The 17,113-nt window shown below is 45.5% G+C and overlaps 1 protein-coding gene across 2 annotated transcripts in view, besides 1 other annotated feature; it reads left to right on the top strand.

The window, feature by feature from the left end:
* WWOX (WW domain containing oxidoreductase) overlaps positions 1-17,113 on the top strand; it is a 1,113,014-nt gene that overhangs the window by 662,132 nt on the left and 433,769 nt on the right. The window lies entirely within an intron of this gene.
* Positions 6,945-7,024: an enhancer, noted in NCBI's record as "active region_11156". NCBI's record gives its function as "activates an Ori minimal core promoter by ATAC-STARR-seq in GM12878 lymphoblastoid cells {active_cell/tissue: GM12878}" and the evidence as "EXISTENCE:reporter gene assay evidence [ECO:0000049][PMID:35858748]".

Below are 17,113 nucleotides of genomic sequence, written 5' to 3' on the forward strand. Positions count from 1 at the left end.
AAAGATAATTGTCAACACACTTAGGAGAGAAATCATGCAGTAAAGCTGACCCGACATAGACTAACTTAAAACTAACTAGTTCATTAGTGCTAACTTAGTTCATTAGTGCTTTATCTCCTTGTGTGTGTGAGTGTGTGAGGGGATCAATTATATACATAAGACAAAGACCACCTAGGAAATGTTTGAGAAACTGTGCAGTGAGGATGAATCAACAAGTAAATATCATGAGAATTTCTTAGATTGAAGAAATATTACTCCTATTTGGTGTCAACTCTGTGCTGGCCTTTTCACTGAAGTTCTCTGATGTAACTGCCCACAGTAATCCTGTAAGGTATGGCTAATCATTTCCATTTTATAGATTAGGAAACCAAGGTCAAAAGTGGTGAATTGATTTGACCAAAATCACAGACCCAGGAATTTCCTCAGCCAAGAGCATACAGCAGCTGTGTCTTAAGACTGTGCCCTTTCATCCACCCTCTTGGTACTCAAAGCTTGGTCCATGAACCAGCAGCTTCAGCATCTGCTGAGAGCTTGCTGGAGGTACAGAATCTCAGGCCTGACTGACCCCAGGCCTGCTGAGTCTGAATTTTAACCAGAGTCTCTTGGTGACTCGTGTGTACTTTAGAAGGGGAACTGCTCACCGCCCCCACTTCCCACTGAGTCGAATAGACATTAAGTGAGCCTTCCTTATGTGCTCAGCCTGTGGTGAGGCTGCAAAGACAATACGACCCAGCCCCTGTAATGCAAAATTCAGAGCATAGGGCAGCACACTGCTGCCATGAGTCGAGGTGACACAGTACTAACAGTGGGCACAGGGGGCTCGGGGCACAGAGGAGGGGTGCTTCCCAGGGAGACTGCCCGTTGGAGCTTACTCCTAAGCTAATTGGGAGGCAGGAATCCACTGTGGCTGAGAACAGCAGCTCTGAATTTGCACTGTCTGGTTTCAAGTCCAAATTCTACTACATCCCAGCTGTGTATTGTGGGGCAAGTTACTTAACCTCTCTGGCCTCAGTATCTGTATCTGTAATATGGGGAATCATAAAAGCACCTACTTGTTAAGGCATATTAAATGCAACGCTACTTTGAAGGACTCATGGTAGTTAACACCCAGTTTGGTAAGTGTTATTATTGAAGGCTGAGAACAGAACGACAAACAACAATCACAACAAAAGGCTGGGGAAGATTTTCCTGGTGGGGGGACCAGATGAGCAATAGATCTCCATATGCAGAGGGGTAACTGAGTACGACTCTGGGACTTACACTAGAACATTCATATTGCAATAAAGCAGATTTTTCCTGAGCACCTACTCTGTGCCAAAGCACTATTGTAGGCTGTGGAGATAGGGAGCTGAAGTACTGAAAGCGTTACAGTCAAGGGCCAGAAAACCATTGTTCAAGCAGTTGGCGTATGGCTTGATCTGTGTTTATTACAAAGCGATACTTTTCCTTCTAAGTACTGCTTTACCTGCATCCTGCAAATTTTGGTATGTTGTATTTTCATTCTCATTAATTCAAAATATGTTCCAATTTCCCATGTGATTTCTTCTTCGACCCTCACATGTTTATTACAGCATTTACTTGTTTCTGTTCATCCAGAACTCATTGAATACCTGCTATCTACCAGGCAGTGGCCTGGTCACATCTTCTGACCTCAAGTAGTTTATAGTCCAAAAAGACATTGGCTCTTTGGGATAGAGGCACTTTTTGGGGGAGAGAAACATGAATGCAATTTTTTACATAGAGTATGAAACTCTGTTCCAAATCTCTCAAACTCAGGTTCTTTGATTCTTAAGGTATTTTTCACTGCCGAGTTGCTGTCATTGAAACAAAATCTGTCCTGGTCACCACTGTATGCCCAGCACCTAGTACAGTGCCCTGAACATATTAGGTACTCATTAAATACTTGTTCCACGAAGTTGTTATTTGGTATTCACGAGTTTTGTCTCAATTCCTTTTGATTCTTCTTTTCACCCATCTCATGTTGACTTAATTTCTCCAGCATTCAGTTAAGACCTAGCCGAAGCATAATTGTCAGCATAGTAGAGCTGGCTCTCCTCTTTCTAATTGCCCTGCAGAGTTTTTGGGGAGTCTGTATGCAATTGTGTACACCCCAATGCCCCAAAACCCTCTTCTATTTCCTTTAGCACTCTTGAGCTGAAGAAGCCCCACTCTCCCTCTGCCCCACATCTATTGTGGGCTGGGATACATGTTGGGCCTCTGCCCAGATCATGCTTGGAGTGGCACCAGCTGCGTAGGATATGTGAAATATTTGCTCAGAGAGATCCAGAAGGGTTGATGTGAGTAGGATCAGCTGGTGCTCCAGGATAAAAATCGTGTCACCACTTTTGCCGAAAAGTCACTGTGTTTCTCCTGTACTCAGCAGGTTACAGGGTGCCATATTGTTCTCAGTCTTCCGGCTCTACCCTGTTTTGAAGTGCGGCCGGGTGTTGTTAAACGGCTCCGCCTTCCTGCCAGAATTTCTCCGTGGGGAGGAGCTGCCACCCAGTCCAGTGAGTATGGCCTTTTGGTCAGCATTGCAGAACCTGGCAAGTCCTAATTCCCTGTGAGCTTGACACAGGAGGCCGCCTCCTCCTCCAGGCCCACTTGGAGGCATTCTGTCCTCTTGTTGGAAGGGAAATTGGTATGGTAGGGAGGTGCTTCTTCTGGGAGTGGGTTTGTAAAATTAAGACTGTTTTCATCCAAACCAGTTACCTGTTTGTCTAGAACCTGTGTTCTCTGCTTTCTGCCTCTTGTGTTGACATTTCTCCTTTGGCCTTCATCTGTTACTCGCTCACATGTGCCGTGCCCCGGGTGGGTTTGGAAGCCATGCTGCTATGGTTTGATTCCTGGCTTTCCAACATTACCTTTGATAACCAAGACAAGTGGCAGTCTAAGCCTCAGTTTCCTCATCTGCAAAATGGGTGCAATTCTAGTACCTCCTTCCTAAGGCTGTGAGGATTCAATGAGGTACTGCTTGCAAAGTTTCTAGCACAGTGTCTTGAACACGGTAAACAACTTACCTAGGTCTGATCTCATTTGATATTGTTGCTCATAGCAAAGGTTTGTTGAGTTTACTATGGATATAACACTTGTTCTTTTTTAAAATAACTTTTAAAAACGCAAGTGTTGAATTATCTGCATTGTGCCTTTAGGGCATACACATCTGCTTACAATATTTTTTGAGCTTTCAGAAAACTTAAGATATGGTTGAGGGATGCAGGAAGGAACAGGACAAGAACCCAGATCCCTGCCCAACAGGACAGTGGAAGGGAAGTCTCAGCATCTCGAAATGAGTGCCTGGAGAGGATGGGTGGCGGCTGTGCGGGGATGTGGTAGGGTGATGGTCCTTGAAGGATGCTGCAGATCACAGTGGCCCCACAGTGTGGGGATTGGGGTGGGATATGTGACAACAAAGGCATCCCTGGCAGAGGATCCAGCACGAGCAAAGGCAGAAAGTCCAGGAAGTGTCAGGAATGAGAAGAGCCCAGTAGAGGATGGGCTTAGGGACAGTGATGAGACCTTCTGGTAGAGGCGTTGAACACTAGGGTGAGGGCTTTGCTCTGACTTCAGGAAGCAGGTGAGAGGCCCTGAAATTTCCACGTAAGATTCGGGGCCGGGCACGGTGGCTCATACTTATAATCCCAGCACTTTGGGAGGCTGAGGCGGGTGGACCACCTGAGGTCAGGAGTTCGAGACCAGCCTGGCCAACATGGTGAAACCCCATCTCTACTAAAAGTACAAAAATTAGCCAGGTGTGATAGCGGGCGCCTGTAATCCTGGCTACTCGGGAGGCTGAGGTGGGAGAATTGCTTGAACCCGGGAGGCAGACGTTGCAGTGAGCCGAGATTGTGCCACTGCACTGCAGCTTGGGAAACAGAGTGAGACTCTGTCTAAAAAAAAAGAAGAGTTGGATCACAGCAAAGGTGAGCTTTAATGAGTTCACTCTGGCAGTTGTGCCGAGGAGGGACTGGCATGGAGAGAAAACAGAGGCAAAAATCACAACCTCTGTCAGAGAACTCATCGCACTATTTCTGTCCTGCCCTGGGATGGTGGAGCCTAAGGGAACAGAGAGGACAGAGTGGGTGGCACAGGCATTGCGGAGGCAGAAATTTACGTGGCTTCCATGCCCATTGGTGTGAGGAGTGAGGGGTGATCAGGGATCCCAGTGGCTTGAAAGTATAACAAAAGTATGACTAGATCCAGGAAATACAGCTGGAGAGACCCAAGTCTGCACAGAAAAGGTTTACAGAGCCCAGGCACACAGATGACATGAGCAGTTCCAAAGGAGTGGGACGGGGTGAATGATTTGTGGTCAGAGGTGTGGTCACACATACCGTCCCCTGATAGTCGGTGGGAACTGGGTCAGGTTCCATTTGCCAGGGGCAGGACATACTGCGTGCCTTGGCCTTTTCTGGGCTACTCAAAAAAGGATTCCACCAGGTAAACTTGAATCACCTAGCGCTGGTAGAAAGCCTTGCTCTTCGTCATCTCTCCTGTGTGTCGCTAGCCTTATTAAAATGTGCAGAGGAGACCGGGCATGGTAGCACACTTGTAATCTCAGCACTTGGAGAGGCTGAGGTGGGAGAATTGCTTGAGGCTATGGCTTCAAAACCAGCCTGGGCAACACAGCAAGACCCCACGTCTTAAAAAAATTTAGCCGGCTGTCGTGTCTCCTCCGTGTAGTCCCAGCTATTCAGGCAGCTGAGGCAGGAGGGCTGCTTGAGCTCAGGAGGTGGAGGCTGAAGTGAGCTGTGATTGTGCTGTTGCACTCCAGCCTGGGCGACAGAGGGAGAGCTTGTCTCCTTGTCTCTAAAAAAGAAAAACATGCTCAGAGGCCTTGTGAGTTAGCTCTCTCCAAAGTTTTTAAGACAAGGAATTCAGTTAATCAAGTTTGTTAGACTTGTTTGAAAAAAGGGCCTGAACAGGCTCAGAGCAAGGGCAGATCAAGCTCTTCCACAGATTTTAATGTTCAGGTTTTGTGACCTTTACTTTTTTTATTTTGGCAAAATGTACACAACTTAGTATTTATCATTTTAATTTATAAGTGTAAAATTCATAGTCATTAAATATATTCACAATGTTGTGTAACCATCAGCATTACCTATACCTAAAATATTTTCATCACATCTTTTAAAAAATAACTGCCCCTTCCTCACTTCCCCAAGCTTGTGGTCTCTGGTAACCCCTACTTTACTTTCTGCATCTATGAAATTGTTTTCAAGGTCAATCCATATTGTAGCATATATCAAAATTTCTTTCTTTCTTCCTCTCCTTCCCTCCCTCCCTCCCTCCCTCCTTCTCTCTCTCCTTTCCTCCCTTCCTTCCTTCCTTCTTTCCTTCCTTCCTTCCATTTTTGACAGGGTCTCACTCTGTTGCCCAGGCTGGGGTGCAGTGGCACAATCAAAGCTCACTGCAGCCTTGACTTCCTGGGCTTCAGTGATCCTCCCACCTCAGCCTCCCAAGGAGCTAGAGGTGCATGCCACCATGCCTGGCTTTTTAAATTTATTTTTATTATTATTTTTTTATTTTTAGTAGAGACAGATTTTGCCGTGTTGCCCTGGCTGATCTTGAACTCCTGTGCTCCGGTCATCCACCCGCCTGGGCTTCCCAAAGCGCTGAGATGACTGCGCCACCACACCTGCCACAAAATTTCTTTGTTATGGCTGAATAATGTTTCTGTGTGAGTGTGTGTGTGTCTGTGTGTGTGTGTGTGTGTGTGTGTGTTTGAATAATACTCCTATGAACATTGTACCAATATCTATTCAGATCTCTGCTTTCGATTCTTCTGCATGTATACCTAGGAGTGAAATTGCTGCGTCGTTTCGTATCTGTGTGCTTAACCTTTTGAGAAACTGCCAAACTGTCTTCAACAGCAGCCGCATCATTTTACATTCCCACCAGCAGTGCATCAGGATTCTAGTTGCTCCACATCTACCCAATACTTATTTTACTTAAAAAAATAGAATAGCCATCTGAGTGAAGTGTTACCTCCCTGCAGTGTTGATTCCCATTTCCCTAATGATGTTAAGCGTACTTTCACGTGCCTACTGGCCGTTTGTGTATCTTCTTTGGAGAAAGTAACATCCATTTTTGATACTCACATGGCTTTTTGGTTCTATTTTTGCTTTCTTTTGGCTAATGATAACCTTCCAGCACCACGAGTTTGGACTGTGCTAATGTCTTCTAGTACTGTTTAGAAGTTGAGGTAAAAAGAAAACGGTAATTGAAAGAGACAGTTGTTGTTTACATTGGGGAGGTTGGTATTCCACCCCCTGTGCTTTTTCATTAGCTGTATTGTATTCTTATTATGTGTTTTACCGGGTAATTGTAATTCTTGGCTTTGGATTTTGTCCCTTTTTTAGGCTGCGGGGCGGGGGGGTCGGTTATTTTATAAGCAAAGAAGTACAGCCAGTATGATTCTGAAGCAACTAGGTCACAGTAGAAAAAAGTTGGAGAGTGAAATCTCAAGCAAGCCAAAAAGTGATAGATGAGTTAAAAAAAAAAAAAAAAAAAAAGTTGCCTGGCTTGGTGCAGTGGCTCATGCATGTACTCCCAGCACTTTGGGAGGCTGAGGTGGGCGGATCATCTGAGGTGAGGAGTTTGAGACCACACTGGCCAACATGTTGAAACCCGCTCTCTACTAAAAATACAACAATTAGCCAGGTGTGGTGGCGCACGCCTGTAATCCCAGCTACTCACCAGGCTGAGAGTGGAAAATCACTTGAACTTGGGAGGCAAAGGTTGCAGTGAGCGGAGACTGCGCCGCTGCACTCCAGCCTGGGTGACACAGTGAGACTTCATCTCGAGGAAAAAAAAAAAAAAAGGCTTTGGAGCTTCCTAATTTCTAAATAGATTTCCTTTATAATTTTCAGAGGTTGTGAAATTAACTCTGTAGATTGGGGAGTGTAGTTTGTCACTCTAATTGCCCAGCGTTTTAATTATCGGCGTGTTTTATGCTTTTGTGAAATGCTCATTTCACAGCTTGCTGGTGGGTCTTTTTGTGGAACGAGAAAGTGAATATTCACACCAGAAATGAGGTACTGACCCTGAAGGGCTTTCCAGTCAAAGAGAAAGGAGAGCATGACCCGCCAATGCCGTTGTTTGTAAGCAGGAAGCTGACGCTGCGCCATGGTGTAGGGGAGGAGGACGGTTTCCATTCTGTTTTGAGCATCAGAATAAAACCAAGCACCAGAAGGTGTGGTTCAAAGATGCTTTCCTTTTTCAGTCTCTGGTCAATTTGTTGTTATTTTTCTTCAAGAGAGTTGTTGGGGTTGGGTAGGCGCAGGGGCCACAAGGCCATCTTTATAAGGCTCTGGCATTTGATAGTGAGGTATTTTGGTATTCCAAATAATTGGTGGAAGGATGGAAAGGTTAAATGGAAATTATGTAAGGGCTGCAAAGAGATTCATATATGACTATTTCATGAGTGCTTACTATATACCAGGCGCTGTTACAGCCCGTGTAATGCCACCTGGGAGTTGGGGGGAGTCACCATCGTCCATCCGTCTGTCCATCCATCCATCCATCCTGCCTCCCTCCATCCTTTCTCTTTTTCACAATGTCTCTTGCTCCGCCCCCTCTCTTCCCCTCCTTCCTTCCTATCCAGTGCTTGTAACCTGTCAAGCACATGTTGTAGCCATTGGGGACATCGTGGTAAACAAAGCAAAGTCCTTGCTTGCATTCTGTGACAGATGGAGATAAAATGGGTAATTAACAAATGTAATCCCTCCCACCCACCCCCCACATTATTTATTTATTTATTTATTTATTTATTTATTTATTTATTTATTTATTTATTTTTACCATGTCTGTTACTCCATCAGTCAGGATCCAGTTAGGAGACAGAAACTATATCATAATTTTAACAGGGAAGATTTAATATTAAGAATTATTAGCTACAACAGGGTTTTGGCTACTAAAGGGTAAAGAGAATCAGGCCGAGCACAGTGACTCATGCCTGTCTGTAATCCCAGCACTTTGGAAGGCCAAGGTGGAAGGATCGCCTGAGTCCAGGAGTTCGAGATCAGTGTGGACAACATAGGGAGGTCCTGTCTCTACAAAAAATAAAAAATAAAATAAAAAAATAAAAATAAAAATAAATAAAAAGTAGTTGGGCGTGTGTGGTGGAGCATGTGGGGGTCCCAGCTACTTGGCAGGCTGAAGCAGGAGGATCGCTTGAGCTCAAGAGGTTGAGGCTGCTGTGAGCTATGATCTCACCTCTGTACTACAGCCTGGGTGACAGAGTGAGACCGTGTCTTTAAGTAAAATAAAATAAAAAAGAGTAGGTCGGGCATGGTGGGTCATGCATGTAATCCCAGCACTTTGGGAATACGAGGTGGGCCAATCACTGAGGTCAGGAGTTCGAGACCAGCCTGGCCAACATGGTGAAACCCCGTCTCTACTAAAAATACAAAAGTGAGTCGGGGTTGGTGGTGTGCTCCTGTAGTTCCAGCTACTTGGGAGGCTGAGGCAGGAGAATCACTTGAATCCGGGAGCCAGCGGTTGCAGTGAGCTTAGATTGCACCACTGTACTCCAGCCTGGGCCATAGAGTGAGACTCTGTCTCAAACAAAAAAAAAATTTAACTCTAAAGAATCCAAGAATACAGATTTGGGAGCAGCCAGTACCAATGGGGGATGGGGCAGTACACCCAGGAAAGAGCAAATCTGGGGTCCCCACGGGCCAGGACTGGGATCTGGACTGGGCCATGGCCCATTGGATGGCAGAAAGGTTCTCACTGAAGCCCCCATAAAGGTGGGACTCACTGGGAAACCGCTCTCTGTGGTGCCAGGGAAGGACGTCTGTGGGAGGTGCCTACCAAGGAAGTCTCTGGAAATCAGCCTGCAGGGGTGGAGTGCCGGGAAACTCCCGCCCCCTCCCCCCCTCCCCGAAGTGAACCGCCCACAGGGAGATGCCCCTATGGGAGCTTCGCACCAGAACCCGTCTGCGCCAGTGTCCCTGCAGCGCCCTCTACTGGCGAAGCTGGACATGGCGTCCGCTGGCAAAGGGGAAACTCTTCTTTCCTCCCAAGCCGAGCAATGCTAAATGTGCCTGGTACTGAGACGTCATCTGTGGACGGTTGGCACCGATGCTAATCAGTGCTATGGGAAAATAGGCAGAGCGAGGAGCGTAAGAATTATTATGTGTGCTGTTTGATAGAGACTGTACAAGGAAGACCTCTCTAAAAAGGTGACATTTGGAGCAGAGACATGAAGGAAGGGATTGCTGGAGGCAGAACATTCTAGGCAGAAGGAACCGCACGTGCAAAGGCCCTCAGGTCAGCCGGCATGGCATGCAAGTAAGCCAGCTGCAACACAGCAGGTGTGGATGAAGGGAAGAGAATTAGCATTTGGCCAGAGCACGCATTTTAAGGGATGGAGATCCATTTGGATAGTCTTGAACACAGAACTGACCGGAACTGACTTACTCTTTGAAAAGATCGCTCTGGCTGCTGTGTTGAGTGGATTGGTAAGGGATAGGTGGTGAAGACTGAAACAGGGTATCCAGTTAGGAAGCTATCACAGTGATCCAACCCCCAGCTTCTGTTGAGGTTGAAGAACATGCATGCCCAACCTAAATATATGTTCAAAGGTGGTTATTACTGTTTGAGGTGATGAAAGAGTTTTGGAGATAGAAGTGATGGTTGTTCAACATCATGAGTGTAATTAATGCCACGGAATTGTATCCTTAAAAATGCTTAAAATGCGCTGGGTGCGGTGGCTCACGCCTGTAATCCCAGCACTTTGGGAGGCTGAGATGGGCGGATCACTTGAGGTCAGGAGTTCGAGACCAGCCTGGCCAGCATGGTGAAACCCCGTTTCTACTAGAAATACAAAAATTGGGCGGGCATTGTGGTGGGTGTCTGTAATCCCAGCTATTTGGAAGGCTGAAGCAGGAGAATTGCTTGAGCCTAGGAGGTGGAGGTTGCAGTGAGCCAAGATTGTGCCACTGCACTTCAGCTTGGGCAACAGAGTAAGACTCTGTCTCACAATAAATAAATAAATAAATAAATAAATAAATAAATAAATAAGAGTTGGATCACAGCAAAGGTGAGCTTTAACGAGTTCAGTCTAGCTCTCTCACAAAAAAAAAGTTAAAATGACAAATTTTGTGTTACATACATTGTACTACAATAAAAACCATTTTTTTGAAAAGAATAGTACAAAAATGATACTTCCCTCTCAGTGTATTTTACCAAGGGATTATTAGTGTATATGTGTGTTCTTACTGGAAATGTTAATTGGACCTGTAATTCTTTTTTTAACTTTTATTTTGGGTTCAGGGGTACATGTGCAGGTTTGTTATATAGGTAACTTCATGTCACAAAGGTTTGTTGAACAGATTATTTCATCACCCAGGTAATAAGCCTTGTATCCAATAGTTATTTTTCTGATCCTCTCCTTCCTCTCTCCCTCTACCCTCAGGCAGGCCCCAGTGTCTGTTGTTCTTTCTTTGTGTCCTTGAGTTTTCATCATTTAGCTTCCACTTGTAAGTGAGGCCATGCAGTATTTGATTTTCTCTTCCTGCATTAGTTTGCTGAGGATAATGGCTTCTAGCCCCGTCCGTGTTCTCGCAGAAGACATGATCGCATTCTTTTATATGGCTGCATAGTATTCCATGGTGTATATTCACTACTTTTTTTTTAATCCAATCTGTCATTTGTGGACATTTAGGTTGATTCCAGTAGACGTGTAATTCTTCTTGGAAATGTTAATCTTGATCATTTGGTTAATGTGATGACTTCTGGGTTCTGCAGTGTGAAGTTATTATCTTCCCTTTTGTAGGTAACAAATACTTTGGAAGAGATTAAACAAACAAATAAAAAAGTGGTGATTGTTATTACCAGCATGGCTACTACTAGCTAATTCCAGGCTTCAAGCCACTGGGGCATAGGCATATGTTTAGCTCATTCCACAGGAGGGGAACAGAGGCTCAAAGAACCTAGGTAAGTTGGCTAGGCGCGGTGGCTCACACCTGTAATCTCAGCGCTTTGTGGGGCTTAGGCAGGAGGATTGCTTGAGCTCAGAAGTTTGAGACCAGCCTGGACAACATAGCGTGAACTTGTATCTACTTAAAGTAAAAATCAAAAAAATAATGGGGTGCAGTGGTACATGGCTGTAGTCCCAATTACTCAGGAGGTGGAGGTGGGAGGATTGCTTGGGCCCAGGAGGCTGAGGCTGCAGAAAGCTGTCATCATGCCGCTGTGCTCCAGCCTGGGCATCAAGGTCTGTTTTGCAGACCTTGTCTCCAAAGCAAAACAAACAAACAAAAGAAACAAACAAACAAACAAAAAGAAATTAGGTAACTTGCTCAGTGGCTAGTGAGTGGCTAGATTGTAAGCTTCATGAGGGCAGGGGACTTTGACGATTTTGTCGGTATCCTAAGCCGCTAGAACAGTGCCTAAACATTTGTTGGGCAGTTAATATATATTTGTTCTATTAATAAGTAGAGCCCGAGTTTGTGTTCTCCGATTCCACACCCCATGTTCCTTCTACTACAACTTCTGGCTCTGGCTTCTGGACTGTCAGTCATTAGCACTCCCTATCCCTAAGGTTTCAGGAATGTTCAGCTGTTTCCTAGCTTGGAATGGACCATCCTCTGGTCCCACCCATGGGTAAGTCATTGGCTGCAGAGCGCAGACATTTGGCTCCCCTCGGGACATTCCTCCCTCATTTAAAACAATGAGGCGGGCAGCAGGGTACTTTGTCCCTTGTGTTAGCTGAAGTTGGAGGATGCTGTGTTGATGGGAAAACGCTGTTACTATTCTTAGACTAGTGGGGCTCTCACTTATTCATAGCTCCGCACTCGTGGGTGGAATGAGAAGTTATAATAGAGTGCAGGTGCCTCTCATTGTTTTCCGCTACTCACTGGATAGTGTTTATTAAAAACGAAATCACAGTGGTGTGTCTGGAGTTGAAGTCTGAACAAATAACCCAAAATGAGGAGTCCCTGGAAGGTGGGCAGGAGGCGACAAACAAAGAGAAGCAAAAACAAGTTTGAGCTAATTGGGATCAGGCAGTACTTTGCATGTGAGTTCTGAACAGGGAGCTTGGCTGCAAAACGATTATTGTATTTAACTTCTGTTGGCATCATTCGCATACTTGTATGGGAGATCCAGAATTGGAATTTAACACAGTTTTCCCAGGCCCTTCATGGAATTTGAAAACATGACTCTGAAAGCATGTGGCTGAAATGAGACTCTTTCACACTGTTTAAAGATGCATGTGCATATGTTGGTGTCCACACATCAACTTAATTTTTTCATGTTCCTTGAAGGAAGCCCGTCTAGGTCCTTCTGAAAGAAGGGCTGGAGATTTTTATTAAACATTACTTCTAGGCTGGGTGCAGTGACTCATCCCTGCAATCCCAGTACTTTGGGAGGCCAAGGCAGGCAGATCATGAGGTCAGGAGATGGAGACCATCCTGGCCAACATGGTGAAACCCTGTCTCTACTCAAAATACAAAAATTAGCTGGGCGTGGTAGCAGGCGCCTGTAATCCCAGCTACTCAGGAGGCTGAAAAAGGAGAATCGCTTGAATCAGGGAGTCGGAGTTTTCAGTGAGCCGAGATCGCGCCACTGCACTCCAGTCTGGTGACAGAGCGAGACAATGTCTCAAAAAAAAAGAAAGAGTTCTGAATGATGATAGGTGTTGGAATCCACGTTGGTGTGTCTCATGTCATTTTTTCGGGCAGTTTCTTGACAGACCCATTTTGTGTGTGTGTGTGTGTGTGTGTGTGTGTGTGTGTGCGCGTGCGCACACGCATGAGCCTGTACGTGTCCCCCTCCCCCCCCACACATATGCACATAAGATAGCATAAGGTAGTTCCTGGCACATGGCGTTGTTCTTAACCATGAGGTGCTCCCAGGCTCCGGGCAGTTCCTTGAAAGACTCATTGTCTGTGTGGGGGGAGGGGAGGCTGTACATGTCCCCACCCAACACACACACATACACACACATGGGCACATATGATAGCATAAGGCAATTCCTGGCACATGGCATTGTTCTGAACTGTGAGGTGCTCCCAGGAGATCTTGTGCTTCCTATCACATGCCCATTCTGCAAGTCCATCCCCTTATTGAGCAGATGTTTACCGCAGAGCACTAAGACAGATGGAACGTCACCGTTGCCCATAGCACTCATGGACAGCATGGGGTCCCCTGTAGCAGATATTTGTGGTGTATGCTCGAAGAGGGGCTGCAGGTAGAACTAGAAAGGTAGGTAAGTTGGGCAGATGGCGAGAGACATCACAGCCCTCACTCCTGAGGGTGGGGAGCCATCTCAGGCTCAGGAGAAGAAGAGTGACAGAGTCACCAACTCACTCCATCAAATGTGGCTGTATTTTTAGAAGTGTCTGGTTCCTGAAATACCTCAATTCCTTTTGCCTGCCTGGCTCCTCTCCTCTCTTCTGCCTGTTCATTGAACTGAAAGATTATCAGGACTGTATTCAGCCCGGCCAATAATATCACAAAACAAAAATATCTTGTGGGTTTGAAATTTATGAGTGTTTTGACTGTTCACAGCAATGCCTTTGAGAATCACAGTGTGTCATCCCCTCCCCACCCCCACGAACATGTAGTTTTTGGGCAACTTTTCGATGAGTAAAACAGGGCCTGACTTTTACCCCAAAGTGATGTTCTTTTGTGGCTTGTCTACTCCAAGAACTGAGATACCCAGACTCATTTCTCATCTCTTGTTGAAACAGAGAAGTCACTGTAGCGCCCTCCGGGGGGTGGGGTATCAAGGGAGAGTATGGGCTTTGAAACTGCTCATCCCGTCTACAACCTTGGAGGGCATGGTGTTTCACTCCCCCACCTCTCCCCACAACTTCACCCTGCTCCAATGAGGATGAAAATGTCTTTCTTATAGATGGGACAGGAGCCTTAGTAATATGGTGCGAGCAATGGTTCACATAGGGGACAGGTGTTCATTCAATGGTGGGTATTATTATAATAATCATTAGCATCATTGCTAGTGACTTTATTTTTCCTTTAGCCAATGGAGCAGTGGCTTTTGGCCCACTACTTTCGACTGAATCTATGAGTGAATGTGATCCTCCGTTTTAACCCTGTCTTATTGGATGTTGGTAAACAGTATATCATGAGCCCCTGTAAGAGCTTGAATCCTTCAAAGACAAGGTCAGTCAGTGGCCATCACTACTCTAAACGTAAGACCCTGTGATGACTGACACTTACTAGGTTTCTCATTTATTTATTTTTCTCTGCAGGACACAGCTATGTGTTCCAAAGATGGTCTTAAACCTATAGGAGTATAACACCATGGCTAGTTCAGAAAACCTTATTCCAACTTCCAAACTTAGAAGATACTGGGAAGTAAAAGGGAGAGAAGGGAATGCATGGCTTGGGCTAAAAAAATGATTCTGCATTCATCTCAGAAGGATGTTTTCCAGTCTTTCTCTAGAAACAACTTTTGTGTCTAAGGATTGTGGGTGAACAACAGCAGCACAGGCTACATTGGCTTGGCTCGGTGGTTGGGATGGTTTGGCTCTTACTGGGCAGTAAGCACAGTGGCTGGGATAGGACCTTGGCATCTCGTGCGAAGCCCCTCTGCCTGGAGTCCTGCCTCTGTGACACTTGCTTACTGTGTGACCTGGGTCAACTCATACCTACTGTTCGTCAGTTTTCTCATCTGTAAAATGGGGATTCCAGTGGTTATTATGAGAATTAAATATGACGATACATAAATAGCACCTGGAAAAGTGTTTAGGAAACCTTGACATGATGACCTGTTTAGCAGCAGCAGTGTGTGCCATACTTACCTTTATGGAATGAACAGATTTGGAGTGAGGATGGATGTTTAGCTCACTTTATTAGTCTGGTCTCACACTGCTATAAAAAACTGCCCGAGATTGGGAAATTTATAAAGAAAAGAGGTTTAATTGACTCACAATTCTGCATGGTCGGGGAAGCCTCAGAAAACTTACGATCATGGTGGAAAGGAAGCTAGTGCACCTTACATGGCGGCAGGCAAGAGGGGCAGGGAGGGAGAGAGAAAGAGGGAGGGAGGAAACCACCACATATAAAACCATCAGATCGCGTAAGAACTCGCTATGTCAAGAATAGAATGGGGGAACCACCCCCATCATCCAGTCACCTCCTACCAGGTCTCTCCCCTAACATGTGGGGATTACAGCTTGTATTACAATTCGAGATGAGATTTGGGTGGGGACACAGCCAAACCATACCACTCATGGCATCTCGTTTTTACAGAGTATATGTGTTTTCAGATTTTGCATGACATTTTAGGATAAATGTGATGAAAATGAGGAAAATTGGGAATGAAGTTTAGGTCAGAAAAGTTTCAGTGATTATTTTTTCAGAATCATTGTTTCTTGGTTTCTAGGGTCCAACATGCCATTGTTCAATGGCTGTATTTCAATGGCTGTATTTCAGAGGCTGTATTTTTTTTCCCATCTCTTCCTTCCTACTTAGAAGACAGTGACATTTCCTCTGTGCCTCTCAGGTGTCAATGCCATCCAACAGGAATTTGTACAAAGAAAGGGAGGACTTTCTGATGATGTTGTCCAGGACAGTGGCCCCATGTAGCTACTGAGCACTTGAAACGTGACTAGTATGACCAGGGGCTGGACTTTTAGTTTAATTTTTTGTAATTTAAATAATTTAAGTAGCTGATGTGTCTAGTGGCTGTCGTATTGGAAAGCACAGAGTAGACATTGCAAATACAGACGTAGAAAGACACCGTGCCTGCTGCTAAGAGGCCCCTGGTCCTACTGAGTGGTCAGCTGTTTACACTGACAGTCCCAGCGTGGTATAATAAGCATTAACACAGAGACATGTACAGGGTGCTGAGAAAGCTAATTTTTGCAATAGTCAAAAAAGACCTCAGGGCAGACTCCCCAGCACAGAGTTCCAAGCCTTTACCTAAAAAGGTAATCATTTTATAAGTACCTATTATGTGCCAGATACTAGGATAGGCACTTTGCATAGAAACTCACATTTCGACTGGGCCTGGTGGCTCACGCCTGTAATCCCAGCACTTTGGGAGGCCGGGGCAGGCAGATCATGAGGTCAAGAGATCAAGAGCATCCCGGCCAGCATGGTGAAACCCTGTCTGTACAAAAAATATAAAAATGAGCTGGGTGTGGTGGCACATACCTGTAGTTCCAACTGCTCAGAATGCTAAGGTAGGAGAATCGCTTGAACCCAGGAGGTGGAAGTTGTAGTGAGCCAAGATCGCATCACTGCACTCCAGCCTGGGTGACAGAGTGAGACTCCATCTGAAAAAAAAAAAAAAAAAAAAGACATTTACATTTTATCTTTACTGTAGCTATGGCTGCCTATCCCAAGGATGGGAAGTCTGAAGTTCAAACTGGTGATGATCCCCACCCCAAGTCACACAGTTAGCTTTATAGTTAAATCAGGGTGTGCCTGATTTCCTAGCCATACCAGGCAGCCTATTTCTTGAATAACCTCCCATCCCCTGTGTCTCCTTTGTGGAGCTCTTGGCAATACTCTGGTGATTGGTAACCACTGATACGCCGCCAGCAGTCCACGCTTGGGTGGAAGGCAGGTTTCACGTAACTGATTTACCACTTGGTAAAGGAACGAGGTGACAGCAAGACCACAAACTAATAAATATGCCGGTATTGACATAATGTCGGACCTCAGTATGATTGATGCATGTGTTGTTGACTGGGATGTCACATGTTCAGGCTGTAATCCTGGTCTCAGTATGACTGTGAGGACGGGGCCAAGTCATTTCACAATTTGGGTGAGTGTTCCAAGCTTCTCAGAAGAGCGACGCAATAGAAATTCAAGGTATGAAATTCAAGGTGTGGTCTCAGAGTCATTTTATCTTACAGCTTCTCTGCTGTGTTTTCTCAGTATGTGAAATGGGAACATCACTTACCATCTACTCACCTCCTGTTTGAGTTCAAGGGAAGGTTTGCAGATTGGCCTGAAGGAAGACTTCTCTTGAAAAACTCAAACCAAAGAGCACACCGCCGTCCCCAACCCTGAGCCATTTCTGTCCTTTTCATGGAAAGGGAACTGTGTTCGCCAGCTCGTAAAGCCCCGGCGTCTCCTCCTAGAAGAAACACCCACATTGACCCAGCAGTGTTCATTTTCCCATAAG

Source organism: Homo sapiens, chromosome 16 (genome assembly GCF_000001405.40).
Source record: "Homo sapiens chromosome 16, GRCh38.p14 Primary Assembly".
Lineage (NCBI taxonomy): Eukaryota > Metazoa > Chordata > Mammalia > Primates > Hominidae > Homo > Homo sapiens.